The 22,269-nt window shown below is 45.2% G+C and overlaps 1 protein-coding gene across 5 annotated transcripts in view, besides 7 other annotated features; it reads left to right on the top strand.

Annotated features, from left to right (window-relative positions):
• Positions 10,249-10,543: a silencer, noted in NCBI's record as "tiled region #14811; HepG2 Repressive non-DNase unmatched - State 3:PromF, and K562 Repressive non-DNase unmatched - State 23:Low". NCBI's record gives its function as "represses a minimal TATA promoter and a strong SV40 promoter by Sharpr-MPRA in HepG2 and K562 cells {active_cell/tissue: HepG2 | K562}" and the evidence as "EXISTENCE:reporter gene assay evidence [ECO:0000049][PMID:27701403]".
• Positions 11,721-12,567: an enhancer, noted in NCBI's record as "H3K27ac-H3K4me1 hESC enhancer chr5:145562805-145563651 (GRCh37/hg19 assembly coordinates)". NCBI's record gives its function as "activates a minimal SCP1, AML or CMV promoter by ChIP-STARR-seq in naive and primed H9 embryonic stem cells {active_cell/tissue: H9 hESC(naive and primed)}" and the evidence as "EXISTENCE:reporter gene assay evidence [ECO:0000049][PMID:30033119]".
• Positions 13,159-22,269, top strand: part of LARS1 (leucyl-tRNA synthetase 1) — a 69,617-nt gene continuing 60,506 nt past the window's right edge. For 3 of the 5 annotated variants that reach the window (NM_016460.4, NM_001317964.2, NM_020117.11), the window contains exons 1-2: positions 13,159-13,321; positions 18,144-18,262. In NM_016460.4, the coding sequence (NP_057544.2) occupies positions 13,316-13,321; positions 18,144-18,262 (125 nt within the window). In that variant the 5' untranslated portion in view covers positions 13,159-13,315. The remainder of the gene's footprint in view (positions 13,322-18,143; positions 18,263-22,269) is intronic. The other 2 variants (XM_011537656.4, NM_001317965.2) reach the window with 2 other exon arrangements.
• Positions 13,476-13,635: an enhancer, noted in NCBI's record as "active region_23359". NCBI's record gives its function as "activates an Ori minimal core promoter by ATAC-STARR-seq in GM12878 lymphoblastoid cells {active_cell/tissue: GM12878}" and the evidence as "EXISTENCE:reporter gene assay evidence [ECO:0000049][PMID:35858748]".
• Positions 18,077-18,277: a silencer, noted in NCBI's record as "peak5521 fragment used in MPRA reporter construct". NCBI's record gives its function as "represses an SCP1 promoter by STARR-seq MPRAs in K562 erythroleukemia cells {active_cell/tissue: K562}" and the evidence as "EXISTENCE:reporter gene assay evidence [ECO:0000049][PMID:32103011]".
• Positions 19,097-19,297: a silencer, noted in NCBI's record as "peak5520 fragment used in MPRA reporter construct". NCBI's record gives its function as "represses an SCP1 promoter by STARR-seq MPRAs in K562 erythroleukemia cells {active_cell/tissue: K562}" and the evidence as "EXISTENCE:reporter gene assay evidence [ECO:0000049][PMID:32103011]".
• Positions 20,003-20,172: an enhancer, noted in NCBI's record as "experimental_81597 CRE fragment used in MPRA reporter constructs". NCBI's record gives its function as "activates a minimal promoter by MPRAs in K562 erythroleukemia cells, with activity observed for the introgressed 5:145555285 or rs62373812 variant allele {active_cell/tissue: K562}" and the evidence as "EXISTENCE:reporter gene assay evidence [ECO:0000049][PMID:34662402]".
• Position 20,087: a transcriptional cis regulatory region, noted in NCBI's record as "Neanderthal adaptively introgressed variant 5:145555285 (GRCh37/hg19 assembly coordinates) or rs62373812 in the experimental_81597 CRE". NCBI's record gives its function as "modulates activity of the experimental_81597 enhancer by MPRAs in K562 erythroleukemia cells {active_cell/tissue: K562}" and the evidence as "EXISTENCE:reporter gene assay evidence [ECO:0000049][PMID:34662402]".

Below are 22,269 nucleotides of genomic sequence, written 5' to 3'. Positions count from 1 at the left end.
AATCAAGAATGACACCAAAGTGTATGGTCTGAGCACTGGCTTGAAATTGGGAAAAATGAGGGATGAACAGATTCAGAAAACAGCTGGTAGATCCAGAATTCAGTTTTGAACATGAGAAGTACAAAATGGCTTTTAGACATTGTGGTAGCCAGTCTCAAGATGGCACACAATTATTTTTGCCTCTTATTATTCACATTCACTTGTACTTTCCTCACACTGGATTAGGGATTGTAACTTCTGACTTGGATCTCTTGTTCTGGGAAAGACAGTCGCCATATTGCAAGACTCTCAAGAAATCCTGTGGAGAGGCCCACACTGAGCGGAACTGAGACCTCTTTCCAACAGCAAGGACTAGCTTTTCAGCCTTGTGAGGGAGTCATGTTGGAAGAAGACCCTCCGGCCCCAGCCAAAGCTTCAGATAAATGTTTTCCTAGCTAACATCTGACTACAATCTCATGAAAACTCATAAACCAGAACCACCCAACCAAACTGCTCCAAAACCTCTAACCTACAGAAACGCAAGAGATAATAAATGGTTATACTGCCAGGCGCAGTGGCATGTGCCTGTAGTCCCAGCAACTTGTGAAGCTGAGGTGGGAGGATTTCTTGAGCCCAGGAGTTTGAGTCCAGCCTGGGCAACATAGTGAGATCCCTGTCTCTTAAAAAATGGTTATTATTATTATTGTTGTTATTATTATTATTGAGACAGAGTTTTGCTCTTGTTGCCCAGGCTGGAGTACAATGGCGCTATCTTGGCTCACTGCAACCTCTGCCTCCTGGGTTCAAGCGATTCTCCTGCCTTAGCCTCCCAAGTAGCTGGGAGTACACGTGCATGCCACCACACCTGGCTAATTTTTGTATTTTTAGTAGAGACGGGATTTCACCATCTTGGCCAGGCTGGTCTCAAACTCCTGACCTCAGGTGATTCAGCCACCTTGGCCTCCCAAAGTGCTGGGATTACAGGTGTGAGCCACCGTGCCCGGCCCTGGTTATTAATGTTTTTAGCCACTAAGTTTTGGGGTAATTTGTTAGGCAGCAATAGATAACTAATATAAAAATTCAAGTGGAGATGTCAAGTAGGCAGTTGGATCTTAAGTCTGAAGTTGATGAGAGGGGTTGGGCCTGTAGTTAAAATTGGGGACTCATCAGCATGTAAATTGTGTTTAAAGCCATTAGCCTGGATAAGATCACTTAGCATATGAGTACATCTAGAAAGGAAGGGCCAGTAGAGAAAAGGTGAGGAATATTAAGTAAATTGAAGAGGTATGGCCAATAAATCAGGAAAGAATAGACAAGAGAAGAAATATGTTTCAAGAAAGGAGTTTTCAAATACGTCAAATGTAGTTCATAGGTCAAGTAAGATGAGAACAGAGAATTGGCCATCGGATTTGACAGCATGGAGGTCACTGATGATCTGGACAATTCCATGGAGTACAGCAGATAAAAGGTTGAGGAAGGCTGGGTGCGGTGGCTCATGCCTGTAATCCCAGCAATTTGGGTGGCTGAGGCAGGAGGATCACAAGGTCAGGAGTTCGAGACCAGCCTGGCCAATATGGTGAAACCCCATCTCTACTAAAAATACAAAAATTAGCTGGGTATAGTGGCACATGCCTGTAATCCCAGCTACTTGGGAGGCTGAGGCAGGAGAATCGCTTGAACCCGGGGAGTGGAGGTTGCAGTGAGCTGAGATCACGCCACTGCACTCCAGCCTGGGTGACAGAGCTAGACTCTCTCTAAAAAAAATAAAAATAACAAATAAATAAAAGGTTGAGGAGAGGCTGGGCATGGTGGCTCACACCTGTAATCCTAGCATTTTGGGAGGCCGAGGCAGGAGGATTGCTTGAGTTGATGAGTTTGAGACCAGCCTGGGCAGCATATTGAGACCCTCATCTATACAAAAAACAACAAAATTAGCCAGATGGTGCACTCCTGTAGTCCCAGCTACTTGGGAGGCTGAGGTGGGAGGATCACTTGAGCCCAGGAGTTTGAGGCTGCAGTGATGTAGCCACTGCACTCCAGCCTAAGCTACAGAATAAGACCTTGTCTCAAAAAGATTTAAATAAATAAAATAAACAAATAAAATATAATTAAAGGTTGAGGAGAAAAATGGAGAAGACAAATTAGAGAAAGCATGGTAGTTCTCCTAAACAGCTTTACTGTAAAGGGGAGTAGAGCAATGAAGGTACTGGACGGTACTGGAAGGGTATTGTGGGATAGGGCAAAGGATAGGGTTTGTTGGCATTTTGTTCAGTTTGGTTTTGCTTGCTTGTCTGCTTGCATTAGGTTAGAAGATATGTGTGAATGCAGACAAGTATGATCTAGAGAGAAAAAATCTGATGATGCAAGAGGTGAGATAAGAAACTAGAGGAATAAAAGCTCTTAATGGGCAAAAGACAATGGGGTCTAATGTACCAATGGAGCATAGGTCTTAATAGGAGCCCTAATTGTTGTTCACTGTAAGTGACAAAAAGAGCACATATTAGTGGATAGAGGTGTGATAGTAGCTGTAGTAAAAGGAAGTCATGAAAGTTGTATATTGATTTCTTCTATGCTGTCAGTGAATGAAGAAGCTATCCAGTAGAATGTGAGAAGCGGAGGCTGGATGTTTGAAAAGAGAGGTATGAGGAGAAAAGTATATTTGGTTTCTCAAACATTTTAAGCTCACTTAGGAGGCTGAGGCAAGAGGATTGCTTGAGACCAGGAAATCAAGGCTGCAGTGAGCCATGACTACACCATTGCACCCCAGCCTGGGTAGCAGAGTGAGACCCGGCCTCAAAAAAACAAAAACAAACAAAAAAATTAGGCTCTTTCCCACTTCATGCCTTTGCACTTGCTAGTACTCCTGCCTGGAACTCTTTTACATACATCTTTGTGTGGCTGACTTTTTTTTCTCAACTCAAGTATCACCTCTTCGGGATGGCCTTGACCATCCAACCTAAACCATCACCTCACTTCCCTCCCCTAGTTACTCTCTATTGCATCATCCTGGTTTATCTTCTTTATAGCATATCTCACTATATAAAATGTTTTTTTCATTTATTTGTGCTCTCTCTGCCCCACCCCATCTAGAATATAAATTTTCATGAGGTCAGGAATTTTGTGTTCTTTGTTAAGTTTGTTTTTTTGTTTTGTTTTGTTTTGTTTTGTTTTAGACAGTCTCTCTCTGTTGCCCAGGCTGGAGTACAGTGGTGCAATCTGTACTCACTGCAACCTCCGCCTCCTGGCTTCAAGTGATTCTCCTATCTCAGCCTCCCAAGTAGTTGGGATTACAGGCACGCACCACCATGCCCAGCTAATTTTTGTATTTTTAGTAGAGACAGGGTTTCACCATGTTGGCCAGGCTGGTCTCGAACTCCTGACCTCCAGTGATCTGCCCATCTCGGCCTCCCAAAGTGCTGGGATTACAGGCATGAGCCACCGCGCCCGGCCTTCTTTGTTGAGTTTTATCTGTAGCACTGAGAAAGAAATCCCTAGGACATAATGGAGGCTTGGCCAGGCACAATGGCTCACACCTGGAATCCCAGCACTTTGAGAGGCTGAGGTGGGAGGATCACTTGAGACCAGACGTTTGAGACCAGCCTGGGCAACATAGTAAGATCCTGTTTCTATAAAACATTAAAAAACAAGCTGGGCATTGTGGTGTGCACCTGTAGTCCTAGCTACTTGGGAGGCTAAAGTGGGAGAATTGCTTGAGGCTGGGAGGTCAGGACTGCAGTGAGCCATGATCATCCCACTGCATACCATCCTAGGTGACAGAGTGAGACCCTGTCTCAAAAAAAAAAAAAAAGATGGTTAATAAATATTTAATGGATAATCTAATATAATCATCTATTTACTAGAGATGATTACTAGATGAGTACCATGATTATCACCATGCTACAGGTGCAGACAGGTCAAGGTCACACGACAAGTTATGGATGGGGGTGGGGTTCATGATTCAAAGTCAGGCAATCCCACTCCAGAATTCACAGTCTCAGACTCTATATGGAATAGGATGTAGAGGAAGATACTAGACTTCTGGCTAATAAGATATTAGGGATCTGACCAATTACTAGGAAAAAAAAGGGTATGACCGTGGTTGTTTCTCCAGTTCATATAGTTTACACCAGTCTAATCTTATTGATACAATAGAGGCAGGAATCTTAAACTTTGGAAATGCACAAAAATAAATTCTAAAAAAACTCAGTGAGGTTGGAATCTCAATAATATATGATTGGCTGTCTTTACCTATTTCTTTATTTTATTTTATTTTATTTTTAGACAGAGTTTCGCTATCGTTGCCCAGGCTGGAGTGCAATGGCGTGATCTCGGCTCACTGCAACCTCCACCTCTCAGGTTGAAGCGATTCTCCTGCCTCAGCCTCCCAAGTAGCGAGATTACAGGTGTGTGCTCCCATGCTTGGCTAATTTTTGTATTTTTTGTAGAGACAGGGTTTCACCATGTTGGCCAGGCGGGTCTCGAACTCCTGACCTCAGGTGATCCACCTGCTTCGGCCTCCCAAAGTGCTGGGATTACAGGCGTGAGCCACCGCACCCAGCCTACCTGTTTCTTTTTCTCTCTTCTTTTCTTCCTTCTTTTCCCCTTTTCCTTCCTGTCTCCCTCTTTCCCTTTCTCCTTCCCTTCTTTCCTTTTTTTCTTCCATCTCTTGTAGAGCCTTTAGACTGCTCCATAATGGTGATGCTAATGGTGGAGACATTAACAGTAGTGGTGGGTAGGTTGGCTATTTAGAAACCACAAGCCGTGTTTTGATGATTCAGGTGTCACCTTTCCCATATGAGCCCATGACACAGCCTTTCATCCTCTGTGGAATGTTGATGAGATGGCAGGCTGAATCTTGTGGGTTCTAAGTCTGGAGTAGTATAGCATGAGTTAGTGATTTTTAATTTCTGGGAGTTACGAATATACCACTTTAGAAGAAATCTAGAAAACAGGGATTTCTCAAAAATTTGGCACCAGAGAAGTACAACTTCTTTAATTTGGTTACATTTATCTAAATAAAAAGGCAGTTTCTCTAATTATCATGGCTACTTGTTCTTGTTCCTAGCTCATGTCAATCAGATTTAGAATTTTCATTAATTAACTGACCAAACTGGATTCCAGTAGTTTTAACCTTTCCCTTCTTCCCTCCCTCTCTTCCTCCCTCCCTTTCTCCTTTCCCTCCCTCCCTCCTTCCCTCCCTCCCTCCCTCCCTCCCTTCCTTCCTTCCTTCCTTCCTTCCTTCCAGCTTAATATTTCCTGAACACTTACCACATTCTAGGCATTGGGCTAATCATCTTGGCTTAGCTCCTTTTATTCTCATAGCAAGCCTAAGAGGTAGGTATTATCATTATCTCGTGGGTCCCATGATAACCCAGAGGTCCGAGGGTTGAAAGAACTTGCTTAAAGCCATAGAGCTAGCCTGGGACACAGCATCAACGCAAACCCAGGCACCTGACTCCAAAGCCCGTGAATGCAACCACCACCCTGACCCTGCCTACCTCTGCTGACCCATTAGCTTTGTCTGAAGTTGCATGCAGAGCGACCCCAGCATCAGCTAAACCTGTAAGTCCTAAAAAATCCTACCTTCGAGCCGGGCGCGGTGGCTCACGCCTGTAATCCCAGCACTTTGGAAGGCCGAGGTGGACAGATCACGAGGTCAGGAAATGGAGACCATCCTGGCTAACAGAGTGAAACCCCGTCTCTACTAAAAATACAAAAAAATTAGCCAGGCATGGTGGCGGACGCCTGTAGTCCCAGCTACTGGGGAGGCTGAGGCAGGAGAATGGAGTGAACCCGGAAGGCGGAGCTTGCAGTGAGCCAAGATCGCTCCACTGCACTGCAGCCTGGGCGACAGAGCAAGACTCCGTCTCAAAAAAAAAAATTAAAAAAAAAAAAATCCTACCTTCTTCTCTTTATTCTTCTACTCTTCGCTTGTGTCAATTAAAAAAGAAATCTGTTTGCCATTCAGGAAGCATTCAGGTAAAGGCAGAACACAGATGTAGAAGAAAAAAACATTGAAAAACAAAAAGTCCCTAAAAGGGTAGGGAAATAACGCTATTCATTGAATGCCACACGCCTTAGGAGCAGAAGCATATAAAGAAGTTCCCACAATTTTTTCCTCAGAGAAAGAACTTTGTCATCTGAAGGTAGGGAAGCTAGGTAAGTATGCACGAAAAACAAATACAAAAGGACTCACAGACAAGCTAAAACTAATTATAGCCTTAGGGATCTAAATTTAGAAATGCTAACAAATTACCAAATTGAGCAGAGTGACCAGTGGGATGGGTTTAAAAATAAATCGGGGGGTCAGGCGCGGTGGCTCACGCCTGTAATCCCACCACTTTGGGAGGCCGAGGCCGGTGGATCACCTGAAGTCGGGAGTTTAAGACCAGCCTGACCAACCTGGAGAAACCCTGTCTCTACTAAAAATACAGAATTAGCTGGGTATGGTGGCGCATGCCTATAATCCCAGCTACTAGGGAGGTTGCGGCAGGAGAATCGCTTGAACCAGGGAGGCGGAGGTTGCGGTGAGCTGAGATCGTGCAATTGCACTCCAGCCTGGGCAACAAGAATGAAACTCCGTATCAAAAAAATAAAATCAATCAATCAATCAATCGGGGGAGGCTGGGCATGGTGGCAATGCCTATAATCCCAGCACTTTGGAAGGCCAAGGCAGGTGGATCACCTGAGGTTAGTAGTTCAAGAGCAGCCTGACCAATATGGTAAAACCCTGTCTCTACTAAAAATGCAAAAATTAGCCAGGCATAATGGCACGCCCCTGTAATCCCAGCTACTCAGGAGACTGAGGTAGGAGAATTGCTTAAACCCGGGAGGCAGAGGCTGCAGTGAGCCGAGATTGCACTACTGCACTCCAGCCTGGGTGATAGAGCAAGACCCCGTCTTGGAAAAAAAAAAAGTTAAAAATAAATAAATCAGGGAGGAATTGAGTTTTGTTGTGAGGTTTTGAAGAATGAATGCGATATGGTTTGAAAGTTGTAAAAGGTATAACACACAATTACATTGTGATAACTAGCTCAGTTAAGCCAGGGAAGAGATTATTATGGGGCACACGTAAGCTTTTTCCATTTTAATCAGACTAATGTTTATAGATCAATATTAAAAATAGCTGACATTTTAAAATGCTTACTATATGCCAGACATACACACATACATAAACAGAGTTTATACACATATTATTTCTTTAATCCTCATAGCAATCCTATGAGTTACACATTATTATCCCTATTTCACAGAGTGGTTAGCTGAATTGTCTGAGGTCACCCGGCTAGTAAATGATGATCTCTGTCTGAATCACAGCCTAAGTTCTTATCCACTATGACACCTTTCTAAATTCTTTTGTATAGAGGGTATTTTACATAGGCTAGCAAATAATTGACAATTCCCAATTAAGAAGCCATATTACTAAGCTGTAACACATATATTTTCTAAGTATCTCTTGAATCTGTCTACATTTCTCTATCTTTACGGTCACCACCATAGTCCAAGACCCCATCACCTTTCACCAGGACAATTGCAATACCCTTCTGTTTCCACTTTCGCTCTTTTCCAATTCTTCCTCAGAATGATTTTTATAAAATACTAATAGGGGCCGGGCGCGGTGGCTCACGCCTATAATCTCAGCACTTTGGGAGGCTGAGGCTCGTGGATCATTTGAGGTCAGGAGTTAGAGACCAGCCTGGCCAACATGGTGAAACCCCGTCTCTACTAAAAATACAAAAATTAGCCAGGCGTGGTAGCAGGCACTTGTAATCCTAGCTATTCGGGAGGCTGAGGCAGGAGAATTGCTTGAACCCGGGAGGTGGAGGTTGCAGTAAGTCGAGATTGCACCACTGCACTACAGCCTGAGGGACAAGAGTGAGACTCCGTCTCAAAAAAAAAAAAAAAAAAAAAATTCAAATAGGACCATGTCCCTTCCTTGCTTAAAATCCTTCGATGGCCTCCCATTGCTCTCACTGGTTTAATGTCTGTCCCTTCCACTAGACTGGAAGCTCTCTGAAGGATGTGGCAGTGCCTGTCTTTATCTTTTTCTTTTTCAAAAAGAAACTCTTTTTTTGAGTCTCACTCTGCTGCCCCTACCGGAGTGCAGTGTTGGGATCTCAGCTCACTGCAACCTCCGCCTCCTGAGTTCAAGCGATTCTCCTGTCTCAGCCTCCTGAGTAGCTAGGACTACAGGCGTGTGCCACCACGCCCGGCTAATTTTTGTTTTTGTTTTTGTTTGAGACGGAGTCTTGCTCTGTCGCCCAGGCTGGAGTGCAGTGGCGCGATCTCGGCTCACTGCAAGCTCTGCCTCCCAGGTTCACGCCGTTCTCCTGCCTCAGCCTCCCGAGTAGCTGGGACTACAGGCGCCCGCCACTACGCCCGACTAATTTTTTTGTGTTTTTAGCAGAGACTATGGTTTCACCATATTGGTCAGGCTGGTCTCAAACTCCTGACCTCAGGTGACCCACCTGCCTCAGACTCTCAAAGTGCTGGGATTACGGGAGTATGCCACAGTGCCCAGCTGTGCCTGTCTTTTTCTTTTTCTTTTTCTTTTTTTTTTTTGAGACGGAGTCTCGCTCTGTTGCCAGGCTGGAGTGTAGTGGTGCGATCTCGGCTCACTGCAAGCTCCGCCTCCTAGGTTCTGGCCATTCTCCTGCCTCAGCCTCCCGAGTAGCTGGGACTACAGGCGCCTGCCACCACACCCGGCTAATTTTTTGTATTTTTAGTAGAGACGGGGTTTCACTCTGTTAGCCAGGATGGTCTCAATCTCCTGACCTCATGATCTGCCCGCCTCGGCCTCCCAAAGTGCTGGAATCACAGGTGTGAGCCACCACACCCAGCCTATGCCTGTCTTTTTCAAATGTTGTGTCTCCAGCATTTAGAATAGTGCCTTGTACACAGGAGAAGCTAAATACATTTTGTTGAATGAATGGAATTCAAATGATCCTTAAAAGAGGAATCTTGGTCACTTATTTTTTTGTTTGTGTGTGTGTGTGTGTGTGTGTGTGTGTGTGTGTTTTGAGACAGAGTCTCGCTCTGTCGCCCAGGCTGTAGTGCAGTGGTTCGATCTCGACTCACTGCAAGCTTCGCCTCCTGAGTCACGCCATTCTCCTGCCTCAGCCTCCTGAGTAGCTGGGACTACAGGCGCCCGCCACCACGCCTGGCTAATTTTTTGTATTTTTAGTAGAGATGGGGTTTCACCGTGTTAGCCAGGATGGTCTCGATCTCCTGACCTCATGATCTGCCCACCTCGGCCTCCCAAAGTGCTGGGATTACAGGCGTGAGCCACTGCACCCGGCTGTTTTGTTTTTTGAGACAGACTCTTGCTCTATCACCCAAGCTGGAGTGCAATGGTTCGAACATGACTCACTGAAGCATCAACCTCCTCGGCTCAAGTGATCCTCCTGCCTCAGCCTCCTGCCTCAGCCTCTCAAGAAGCTGGGACCACAGGCATGCACCACCATGCTCAGCTACTTTTTTTTTTTTTTTGAGACGGAGTCTCGCCCTGTCACCTGGGCTGTAGTATGGTGATGTGATCGTGGCTCACTGCAACCTCCACCTCCCGGGTTCAAGCAATTCTTCAGCTTCAGCCTCCTGAGTAGCTGGGGCTACAGGTGCGCACCACCACGCCCAGCTAATTTTTGTAGTTTTTAGTAGAGGTGGGGTTTCACCATGTTGGCCAGGCTGGTCTTGAACTCCTGACCTCGTGATCCACCTGCCTTGGCCTCCCAAAGTGCTGGGATTACAGACATGAGCCACCGTGCCCAGCCAGCTAATTTTTTTAATTTTAATTTTTGTAGAGACAGGGTCTCGCCATGTTGCCCAGGCTGGTCTTGAACTCCTCAAGTGATCCACCCACCTCAGCCTCCCAAACTGCTGGGATTACAGGTGTGCAACACCATGACCAGGCTCAGTCACTTAAATGGGAAAATTACAAAAGTTGAATTTGGAGACATGAAGGCAGGTTTTTCATAATTTCTAATAAAATACTTACTTGTTTATTTTCTAATTTAATGTCTCATGCCCTTTAGACTGTAAGCTCCATGAAGGAAGGGACCATGGTCTGCCTTGTTCTTGACTCCATCCTAGCTCTACGTCAGGTTTATGGGAGGTACTCAATAAATATTTGTTGTATGAATACTTTCAATTACCAATGTGGATTGGAAGGTGATGAATCAAAGAGATGAAAATAGTACTGGTTAGGGCAGAATTGGGACAAGAAATTAAAGCTATAGTTATAAGAGCTGTGGAGGATGAGGATTCTTTCATTCATTTAATAAATCTTTATAAGGCACCTGCTATGGGCCTGACATTGTGCTAGGCACAGTCTCTGCTGTTATGCAGATTTTAGTCTAGTGATAAATAAACAGGCAATTCATGAGATGAAATTTCCAAGGCAAGGGGTGCTTCAGGGAACATCTAGTGGGGAGCATTTAACTCAGACTTGGGCTGTCAGGAAGTGATGACTAAATGGTTGGTAGCTAAAGGAAGAGGGTATGGAAAGTGAGGGAGGCAGCCTAGAGGCAGGAGAGCGACTGGTAGCCTAAGGTTCCTTCTTAACTTTTTCCTTTCATCCAACAAATTTGTATTGACCCCATATCATATGCCAAGTATTGTTTTAGGACATCGTTGAATTTGTATTTCAAAACTAGTTGTTGAAAAATGTAAAAAAAAAAAAAAAGTTCTGTGTGTATGTGTTTGTGTGTGTGTGTATTCCCTTCCCTTAAACCCTTAGGTAGACACACATCTGGGCTGCGTTCCCCATCCCCTTAAAGGGTCCCCAATCCCTTAAAGTGCATTGTAGATGCTTAATGTTTACTGGGTTAATAAATTATCACGTGAGTAACTAATCTGTGGTTTTTTTTTTTTTTTTTTTGGAGCTGGAGTCTCACTCTGTCACCCAGGCTGGAGTACAGTGGTGTGATCTCGGCTCACTGAAACCTCTGCCTTCCGGGTTCAAGCAATTCTCCTGCCTCAGCCTCCTGAGTAGCTGAGACTACAGGCACATGCTGCTAAGCCCCGCTAATTTTTTTTTTTTTTTTTGTATTTCCAGTAGAGGTAGGATTTCACCGTGTTGCCCAGGCTGGTGTCGAACTCCTGAGCTCAGGCAATCCGCCCACTTAGGCCTCCCAAAGTGCTAGGATTACAGGCGTGAGCCACGGCGCCCGGCCATTTGTGTTTGTTGTTGTTGTTGTTGTTGTTTTTTGAGATGGAGTCTCACTCTGTCTCCCAGGCTGGAGTGTAATGGCATGATCTCAGCTCACTGCGACCTCTGCCTCCTGGGTTCGAGTGATTCTCCTGCCTCAGCCTCCCAAAATTCTGGGATTACAGGAATGAGCCACTGTGCCCGGCAAGAAATGAATTTTAAATTTTATTTATTTTTAATTAATTTGAATTTAAATTGCCACATGTGGCTAGTGGCTACTGTATCAGACACCATATATCTCTGTATGGTAGCATAGTCTTTTTTTTGTTTTGTTTTTGAGACGGAGTCTTGCTCTGTCGCCCAGGCTGGAGTGCAGTGCTGCCATCTTGGCTTACTGCAATTTCCACCTCCCGGGTTCAAGTGATTCTCCTGTCTCAGCTTCCCAGCAGCTGGTATTACAGGCGCGTGACACCACGCCTGGCTAATTTTTGTATTTTTAGTAGAGACGGGGTTTCACCATCTTGGCCAGCCTGGTCTCGAACCTCTGACCTCGTGATCCACCTGCCTCGGCCTCCCAAAGTGCTGGGATTACAGGTGTGAGACACCGTACCCGACCAGTCTTTTTTTTTCCCTTGAGATGAAGTCTCGCTCTGCCGCCCAAGATAGAGTGCAGTGGTGCGATCTCGACTCAGTGCACCCTCTGCCTCCTGGGTTCAAGCAATTTTCCTGCCTCAGCCTCCCGAGTAGCCGGGACTACAGGTGCACGCCACCATACCCAGCTAATTTTCGTATTTTTAGTAGAGACGGGGTTTCACCATGTTGGCCAGGCTGGTCTCAAACTCCTGACCTCAGGTCATCCGCCCACCTCGGCATCCCAAAATAATGGGATTATGGCCACCGCCCCTGGCCCTGTTTGGTAGTGGTCTAAATAGTCTGAGTCAGGCAATGGGACCAGGTAGGCTTTCAGTCTCTTGCTTAAAAATGGAGATTGTTGGCCGGGCACGGTGGCTCACGCCTGTAATCCCATCACTTTGGGAGGCTGGGGCGGGCGGATCACGAGTTCAGGAGATCGAGACCATCCTGGCCAATATGGTGAAACCCCGTTTCTACTGAAAATACAAAAATTAGCTGGGCGCGGTGGCGCGCGCCTGTAGTCCCAGCTACTAAGGAGGCTGGGGCAGAAGAATCGCTTGAACCCGGGAGGCGGAGGTTGCAGTGAGCCGAAACCGCGCCACTGCACTCCAGCCTGGAGACAGAACGAAACTCCCTCTCAAAAAAAAAAAAAAAAAAAAAAAAAAAAAAGGAGATTGTTGGCTAGGTACGGTAGCTCACGCCTGTAATCCTAGCACTTTGGGAGGCCGAGGGAGGCAGATCACGAGGTCAGGAAATCGGGATCATCCTGGCTAACAAGGTGAAACCCAGTCTCTACCAAAAATACAAAAAATTAGTCGGTGTGGTGGCGCGCGCCCATAGTCCCAGCTCCTCGGGAGCCTGAGGCAGGAGAATTGCTTGAATCCGGCAGGCCGAGGTTGCACTGAGCCAAGATCGCGCCACTGCACTCCAGCCTGGGCGACAGAGCGATACTGCGTCTCAAAAAAAAAAAAGGAGATTGTCAATACGCGGTTATACAATGTCTAAATGCTGGGCTGTTGAATGCCACTGACAGTAAAAAATATCTGTGCATAGTGGCAAGCCATAAGTAGCACCTCAGTCACCGTATAGTAATTAACTGCGTATCCTGGCATCCCGACAGGCAACCAGCTCTACCGGGTGAAAAGGTTGATGGCCAAGGGACTCCAACCTAACCAGGGCGCACTCGCGGCATTCTGCGATCCCGCACTGCATCATGGACTTTGTAGTTCAACATGCCAGTGACGTCACTGCCGGTTCCCCTCTGAGTGGGCCTATCGGGTAGACTTCCGATAACCCGTTTTTCTCTGGGAATTGTAGTCAGTTAGCGCCTGCTGGGTGTCTGCTCGGGTGGTCTGGGAACTACAATTCCCGGCGGGCTGTGAGATGCCTTGGCTGTAGTTAGTAAGGAGCCGGATGATTGCCTCAGCAGGTGTGAAGCGTGTGCTTTAGTTTCGTGGGAGGCCTGGCATCCCCGAGAGGGAGGGGAAAGGTAACCACTCCTTTGTGGAGGTCGCCAGGGTCATTGTCGTGGATTTGCACAGTCGGCTGGGCGGTGCAATGGCGGTGAGTTTGAGCGAGAAGAATCCGCAGGGGCCCTGGAGCCGGACTGGCCAGTCTCTAGGGGCTCTCCATGTGCTGTCCTGAAGGGAAAGTCCTTTTCTAAAAGAGAGCCACGCTTAAGGCGTGCCTTTCGTAGAGACTTTGCTTTTTCTTGCTAGTTTATGAACCACGAACTGATGTCTGTTAACTTTACGGAGTACTTGGATATCATATTTGTTATTTCTCTGGAGTTTCTAAAATCGAGGTGGAGAGCCGGGCACGGTGGCCCACGGCTGTAATCCCAGCACTTTGGGAGGCCGAGGCGGGTGGATCATTTGAGGTCAGGAGTTCGAGACCACCCTGGCCAACATGGTGAGACCCCGTTTCTACCAAAAATACATAAATTAGCCGGGCGTAGTGGTGCGCGCCTGTTAACCCAGCTACTCGGGAGGCTGAGGCAGGAGAATTGCTTGAACCCGGGAGAGGGAGGCTGCTGTGAGCCAGGATCGCGCCACTGCACTCCAGCCTGGGCGACAGAGTGAGACTCCGTCTTAAAAATAAAATAAATAAATAAACAAACAAATAAAGCCGAGGTGGAGAGAGGAGTATGTAAGTTGATTCCTACTTACAGCAAAAAAAAAAAAAAAAAAAAAAAAAAAAAAAGAAAAAATTGAGCGCCTCTCCGTAAAACAGACAAAAATCTCTCTTTTCATAGTGTTTATGTGTGTGGGTAAAATACATTGTAAAATATTGTGTCAGGTGCTGATAAATGCTGTGGGGAAAAAATAGAGCAGGAAGGGGTGCTAGGGAGTGTACGGTGGGGTAGTACAGTTGCAATTTTTAAAAATTTTTTTAAATTTGGGAGATGTTCTCACTCTGTGACCCAGACTGGAATGCAGTGGCGTGATCATGGCTCACTGCAGCCTGGACCTTAGGGCTCAAGCGATCCTCACACCTCAGCCTCCCCACAGCTGGTACTGCAAGCGTGCTCCATTACACCCTGCTAATTTTTTGTATTTTTAGTAGAGACAGGGTTTCGAACTCCTGGGGTCAAGCGATCCTTCTGTCTCAGCCTCCGAAAGTGCTGGGACTACAGGCATGAGCCATCCCGCCTGGTTTTATTTTTTTTTGTTTTTTGTTTGTTTGTTTGTTTTTTTCTTGAGACGGAGCCTTGCCCTGTCGCCAGGCTGGAGTGCAGCGGCGCGATCTCGGCTCACTGCAACCTCCTCCTCCCAGGTTCAAGCGGTTCCCCTGCCTCAACTTCCCGAGTAGCTGGGACTACAGGCGCGCGCCACCATGCCCAGTTAAATTTTTTGTATTTTAGTAGAGACAGGGTTTCACCACATTGGCCAGGATGGACTCAATTTCCTGACCTCGTGATCTGCCCGCCTCGGCCTCCCAAAGTGCTGGGATTACAGGCGTGAGCCATGGCGCCTGGCCTGTTGCAATTTTTAAAAGGATGATCAAGCAAGGCTTTGCCAAAAAGGTGGCAAAAACGAGGTAAGAGAGCAACCTATGCAACTATAGGAAGAAAGAGATTTCCAGGCAGGGGCAACAGTGTAAGTGAAAAGCAGGGATCCCGGGTAGAAGCCAGGGATGCTTCTAAACATCCTGCAGTGCACAGGACAACCCCTGAAAACAAAGAATTATTTGGCCCAAAGTGTAAGTAGTGCCAAAGTTTAGGAACTCTGATTTAGTTATATAGCCTTTTGTTACCAGTGAGGAGGTTGAGTCTCAGATTGATCAAATGACTTGCTCAAGGTTATACAACAAGTTGGTGTTTGGGCCAATATCAGATTTTATTATACTTGATCTTTGAGGTTTTGAGAAACAAGTTTTTCTGAGAAACAGAAAACTCAAATAAAAGCTTTCTTGCATTTGGCATACTCAGTACAATGAAAAGAAACACATAGTTCTAAGTAATTTGTAAAAGACTTGCTTTCATAGTCTTCTTTACAATGGGTGACATGATCATATTTTTTATTTTTATTTTTATTTTTTTTTTGAAATGGAGTCTCATTCTTTCCCAGGCTGGAGTGCAGTGGTGCCTCCCAAGTTCAAGTGATTCTCCCACTTCAGCTTCCTGTGTAGCTGGGACTACAGGTGTGCGCCACCATGCGCTGCTAATTTTTGTATTTTTTGGTATAGTTGTGGTTTCACCATGTTGGCCAGACTGGTCTTGAACGCCTGACCTCAAGTGATCCGCCCACCTTGGCCTCCCAGAGTGCTGGGATTACAGGTGTGAGCCAATGCACCTGGCCATATTTTTTATTTTTTGAGACAGGGACTCACTCTATCAACCAGGCTGCAGTGCAGTAGTGCAATCATAGCTCACTGCAGCCAGCCTTGATCTCCTGGGTTCAAGTGATCCTCTGGCCTCAGTGTTCCCATGTCCTGCTCATGGTAATTTTTAGGTAAAAGATATTTGTTACATAACTTCTGTGTCTGTGGCATTGTACTTTGTGCTAAGGTGACTATAAACAATTTAAAAGTTCCTGCCTGTTGAGAATTTACAGCCCAACTGCATAAATGTCTTAAGATCATTGGTTGCATTTAACAGAAGTCAACTCAAGTTGGTTAAGGAGGAATTTAGTAATAAAGTGGAAGTTGGCCAAAGGCGATGGCTCAAGCCTGTAATGTCAGCACTTTGGAAAGCCAAGGCTGGTGGATTGCTTGAGCCTAGGAGTTCAAGACCAGCCTAGGCAACATGGTGAAACCCTGTCTCTACAAAAAAATACAAAAACTATCTGGGTATGGTGGTGCATATGCCTGTAGTCCCAGCTATTCAGGAGGCTGAGATGGGAAGATTGATTGAGCCCAGTAGGTCAAGGCTGCGGTGAGCTGGTGCTTGCACCATTATGCTCCAGCCTGGGTGGCAGAGGGAGACCCTCTCTCTCTCACACAGACACACACACATAAATACAGTGAAATTTCATATTACCCATGACCGTAGGGTAGGAGATATGACTAGGCTTCATGAGGCCCTACATACTTTTGCCTTTGTGGGTGGGTCCTTTCCTCTGTAAAAATATTAGAAATTATATTTTACAGACCGGGCTGGGTGGCTCATGCCTGTAATCACAGCACTTTGGGAGGCTGAGACGGGTGGACCACCTGAGGTCAGGAGTTTGAGGCCAGCCTGGCCAACATGGTGAAACCTCGTCTCTACTAAAAATACAAAAATTAGCCAGGTATGGTGGCACGCACCTGTAATCCCAGCTGCTCGGGAGGCTGAGGCAGGAGAATTGCTTGAACCCCAGAGATGGAGGTTTCAGTGAGCTGAGATTGGTCTTGCTGTGTTGCCTAGGCTGGAGTGCAGTGGCTCCATCTTGGCTCACTGCAACCACCGCCTCTTGGGTTCAGGTAATTCTCCTGTCTTTGCCTCCCGAGTAGCTGAGATTATAGGCGCATGCCAACGCATCCGGCTAATTTTTGTATTTTTAGTAGAAATGGGGTTTCGCCATATTGGCCAGGCTGGTCTTGAACTCGTAGCCTCAGGTGATCCACCTGCCTCGGCCTCTCAAAGTGCTGGGATTACAGGCATGAGCCACCAAACCTGGCCAAAAAAATTGTTTTTCTTTTAAAGAGGAGGTCTTTCTATGTTGCCTAGGCTGGTCTCAAACTCCTGGCCTCAAATAATCCTCCCTCCTCAGCCTCCCAAAGTGTTGGGATTGTAGACATGAGGCACTACATCCAGCCAAGTTACTTATTAAGAAGAGGTTTTGAAGTGAGAGGGGGCAGTGGCGTTGATAGTCTAAATGAAGGTGGTTAGTAGCAGGAATGGAAAGGGATGAACAGTTGTGCAGGCTTATTATTTCTTAGAAAAGAAAATACCTTATACAATCACTGTTTTATGGAAACTTGAAAAGAGTCCAGGTATTTTTTTTTTTTTGGTGGGGGATGGAGTTTCGCTCTTGTTGCCCAGGCTGGAGTGCAATGGTGCAATCTTGGCTCACTGCAACTTCCACCTCCCAGGTTCAAGCGATTCTCCTGCCTCAGCCTCCCAAGTAGCTGGGATTACAGATGCGTGCCACCTTGCCTAGCTAATTTTTGTATTTTTAGTAGAGATGGGGTTTCACCACGTTGGCCAGGCTTGTCTCTAACTCCTGACCTCAGGTGATCCTCTCACCTCGGCCTCCCAAAGTGCTGGGATTACAGGCGTGAGCCACCGTGTCCAGCCTGTTTTATTTAAATTTCATATGAACAGTTCTTTAACAATTTTGGAGAGAAGTTCTCTATCAGTATCTTTGATATTCATGTATTTTAATTAAATAGAAACATTTGATGACAGTGTTACATTGTAGTATATAATTTTAAAAAAGCATATCAAAGCCTTTTACATATTTCAGTAATTGTTCAACCATTTCTTTGAGGTTTGAGGTACACAGGTCATGATAATCCTAATTTTTTTTTTCTGGCGGAGTCTTGCTGTGTCACCCAAGCTGGAGTGCAATGGCATGATCTCGGCTCACTGCAGCCTCCGCCTCCCTGGTTCAAGCGATTCTCCTGCCTCAGCCTCCTGAGTTGCTGAGATTACAGGTACCCGCCACCACGCCCAGCTAATTTTTGTATTTTAGTAGAGATGGGTTTCGCCCTGTTGGCCAGGCTGATCTCGAACTCCTGACCTCAAGCAATCCACCCGCCTCGGCCTCCCAAAGTGCTGGGATTACACGCATGAGCCACCGCGCCTGGCTGATAACCCTAATTTTTAATGTTCATTTAAATTTCAAGATAACCATGGAAAAATCAGTCTTTATCAGTGAGCAGCTCAGTTCTGTGAACCCAATTCTTTTTTAAAGCAAGCGTGCTGAAATACAGAGTGGATTATTCTCTTTGTGTCCAATAGGAAAGAAAAGGAACAGCCAAAGTGGACTTTTTGAAGAAGATTGAGAAAGAAATCCAACAGAAATGGGATACTGAGAGAGTGTTTGAGGTCAATGCATCTAATTTAGAGAAACAGACCAGGTGAGTAATAGTTTGTGAAGTTCTGCACATTGTATTTCTATATATATATATATATATATATATTTTTTTTTTTTTTTTTTTGAGACGGAGTCTTGCTCTGTCGCCCAGGCTGGAGTGCAGTGGCGCAATCTCGGCTCACTGCAAGCTCCGCCTCCCAGGTTCATGCCATTCTCCTGCCTCAGCCTCCCGAGCAGCTGGGACTACAGGCACCCACCACCATGCCCAGCTAATTTTTTGTATTTTTAGTAGAGATGATGTTTCACTGTGTTAGCCAGGGTGGTCTCGATCTTCTGACCTCGTGATCCACCCGCCTCGGCCTCCCAAAGTCCTGGGATTACAGGCGTGAGCCACCACGCCCGGCCCTGTGCATTGTATTTCTAAAACCGTTGGCTTTATAGTACAGAAACAGCTTGGTGGAACCCATAAGGTAGATTGTATTTATAATGCCTGAAACAGGGTGAAGGAGGTGACTTTCACTTTCTGCATATGAATTAGGATCTTTTTTCTTATGGGGTTTGTAAAGATTTTTTTTTCTAAATAAAGTTTGTTTTGTTTTGTTTTAAAGACTACAGTATTTTAAATATTTAGACAAAGAAGGATGTTTTGAGATTTTTTTCTTTGCTGACTGATAAAACGAAATTATTCTATTAGACTCATAGACGATTATTATCTCCAAAGACAGAAAATGTAAATTTTTATGTTTTTTCTTTACAAGTAAACCTAATGCTTATAGAAGTATAAATGTTGAAGATATTATTTCATAAATACTGCATTGCCTTGATACTAAAATAATACTGATTTAAAGACAAACGTAGATCATGACATGATATTTGGGAAAAACAAAAACAAAATAACTCCCCCAAACATTGCCTTAATAAATGTATGCATCAATTATAAGATATATCCCAGATTCATATATGTTGAGATGTAAGAAAATGTGCTTTTTCAGATTGAAGAAATACGGTTATAGTAACAACAATAATAGTAAGTTAACATTGAACACTTACTGTGTGCTAGCAAATGTGCTAGCAAATTTTTTTACATGTATACTCTCATTTAATCTTCTTTTTCTTTCTTTCTTTTTTTTTTTTTTTTTTTGAGACAGTCTTGCTCTGTCATCAGGCTGGAGTGCAGTGGCGCCATCTCGGCTCACTGCAACCCCCAACTCCCTGGTTAAAGCGATTCTCCTGCCTCAGCCTCCTTAGTAGCTGGGATTACAGGCATGTGCCACCACGCCCAGCTAATTTTTGTATTTTTAGTAGAGACGGGGTTTTACCATGTTGGCCAGGATGGTCTCGATTTCCTGACCTCGTGATCCGCCCACCTCAGCCTCCCAAAGTGCCGGGATTACAGGCATAAGCCACCGTGCCTAGCCTTTTTCTTTCTTTCTTTTTTTAGACAAAGTCTTGCTGTGTCATTCAAGCTGGAGTGCAGTGGCACAGTCATAGCTCACTGTAACTTCAAACTCCCGAGCTCAAGCAATCCTTCTTCCTCGGCCTTCTGAGTAGCTGGGACTACAGGCATGCGCCACCATGCCTGGCTAATTTGTTTTTTCTTAGAGACAGGGTCTTGCTATGTTGCCCAGGCTGGTCTCAAACTCCTGGCTTCAAGTGATCCTTCTGCCTTGGCCTCTCAAAGCTCTTAAGATTATAAGACATGAGCCATCACTCCTGGCCTCATTTTACCTTTTAATTTTTTTTGTTTTTGTTTTTTTTTTTTGAGACGGAGTCTTGCTCTGTCACCCAGGCTGGAGTGCAGTGGCGCAATCTCGGCTCACTGCAAGCTCCGCCTGCCGGGTTCACGCCATTCTCCTGCTTCAGCCTCCTGAGTAGCTGGAACTACAGGCGGCTGCCACCATGCCCGGCTAATTTTTTTGTATTTTTAGTAGAGATGGGGTTGCATTGTGGTCTCGATCTCCTGACCTCGTGATCTGCCTGCCTCGGCCTTCCAAAGTGCTGGGATTACAGGCGTGAGCCACTGCGCCCGGCCTTTTTTTTTTTTTTTTTGAGGTGGAGTCTTGCTCTGTTGCCTAGGCTGGGTGCAGTGGCATGATCTCGGCTCACTGCAACCTCTGCCTCCCGGGTTCAATGATTTTTCTGCCTCAGCCTCCCCAGTAGCTGGGATTACAGGTGCATGCCACCACGCCTGGCTAAGTTTTAATTTTTGTTTTTAATAGAGACGGGGTTTTGCCATGTTGGCCAGTCTGGTCTCAAACTCAAATGATCCGCCTGCCTCCGACTCCCAAAGTGCTGGGATTACACGCGTGAGCCACTGTGCCCGCCCATTATCTTTTTTTTTTTTTTAATTTGGAGACAGAGTCTGTGGTGTCAGATGGAGCGAGCCTCTGTCACCCAGGCTGGAGTGCAGTTGTGTGATCTCAGCTCACTGCAACCTCTGTCTCCTGGGCTCAGGTGATCCTCTCACCTCAGCCTCCTGAGTAGGTGGGACTGTAGGCGCACGCCACCACACCCAGGTAATTTTTCTATTTTTAGTAGAAATGGGGTCTTGTTATGTTGCTGAGGCTGGTCCCAACTCCTGGGCTCAAGTGATCTGCCCACCCCGGCCTCCCAAAGTGCCGGGATTATAGGCATGGGCCACTGCACCCAGCATTGAAAAAATTTCTTTTGTAGAAATGAAGTTTCACTGTCTTGCCCAGGCTAGTCTTGAACTCCTGGGCTCAAGTAATCCTCCCACTTTTGCCTCCCAAAGTGTTGGGATTACAGGTTTGAGCCACCATGCCTGGCCTTAATCTTCTCAATATACTTTAAGGTTAACAGCTTTTAAAATTTCTCTTTTACAGCTGAGGAAACTGAGGCACAGAGAGGCTAAGTAACCAGTTCAAGGTTACATCACTGGGAATTGACTGGGCCTGGGCTTGTTTTTAGGACTTTCTGATTCAAAAGTCTTTTTTCCTTGCTTATTAAGCTATATTCTAATGGATATATATATATATATATATGGATATATACATATATGGATATATATATATATGGATATATACATATATGGATATATATATATATATGGATATATATATATATATATGGATATATATATATATGGATATATATATATATATATGGATATATATATATATATTTGAGACAGAGTTTTGCTGTTGTTGCCCAGGCTGGAGTGCAATGGTGTGATCTCGGCTCACCGCAACCTCCGACTCCCGTGTTCAAGCGATTCTCCTGCCTCAGCCTCCCCTGTAGCTGGGATTACAGGCATGCGCCACCACGCACAGCTAATTTTGTAGTTTTACTAGAGACGGGTTTTCTCCACGTTAGGCTAGTCTTGAAATCCCAACCTCAGGTGATCCGCCCGCCTCCGCCTCCCAAAGTGCTGGGATTAGAGGTGTGAGCCACCAGGCCCCAGCCTTTTTTTTTTTTTTTTTTTTTTAAGAGAAAAAGAAATTGCTGTAATATAGTCTCTGGTGTTATACTTGAAGCTATAATTTGAAGCTTCTATTTTCTTCTAGAGGTTTGGTTAACTTTAAGGTAATTTAAAATAATTACAAGTGAACTGAAAAAGCTGCTTTGTTTAGTGAAAGAGAATTAACTATAGGTGTATGCAGTAAGACTGAAGAAAGTAATATAATGTCAAGTGAAGAAGGCAAATTGCAGAAGTCTATATGAAGTATGCCTTTTTTTTGTATGAAACTCACAAGTGAGCGAAACTAAATGATAAATAGTTTAAGGGTGCTGCCAAGTGTGCAAACTATTCAAAAACAAGGGAACGGTAAAAGCAAATTTCAGAATGTCGGTTATCTCTTGTGGGACAGTAGAGAGGAAACAGGTAGTTTCAGTGGATTCATAAGTCAGATGGTGTGTTTACAAGTGTTCATTTTATTATGCTTCATAACACAGTATGTATGTTAGATATTCTTCATAAGAAAAAAGAATACAGACCAAGCATGGTGGCTCATGAGCTCATGCTCATGGTGGTTCTTATATTGAGAACCCTGTCTTTACAAAAACAACTAAAAAATTAAAAAAAAAAAAAAA

The sequence above is a fragment of the Homo sapiens genome, chromosome 5 (genome assembly GCF_000001405.40).
Source record: "Homo sapiens chromosome 5, GRCh38.p14 Primary Assembly".
In the NCBI taxonomy this organism is placed as follows: domain Eukaryota; kingdom Metazoa; phylum Chordata; class Mammalia; order Primates; family Hominidae; genus Homo; species Homo sapiens.
This window is presented reverse-complemented; position numbering and strand designations above follow the sequence as displayed.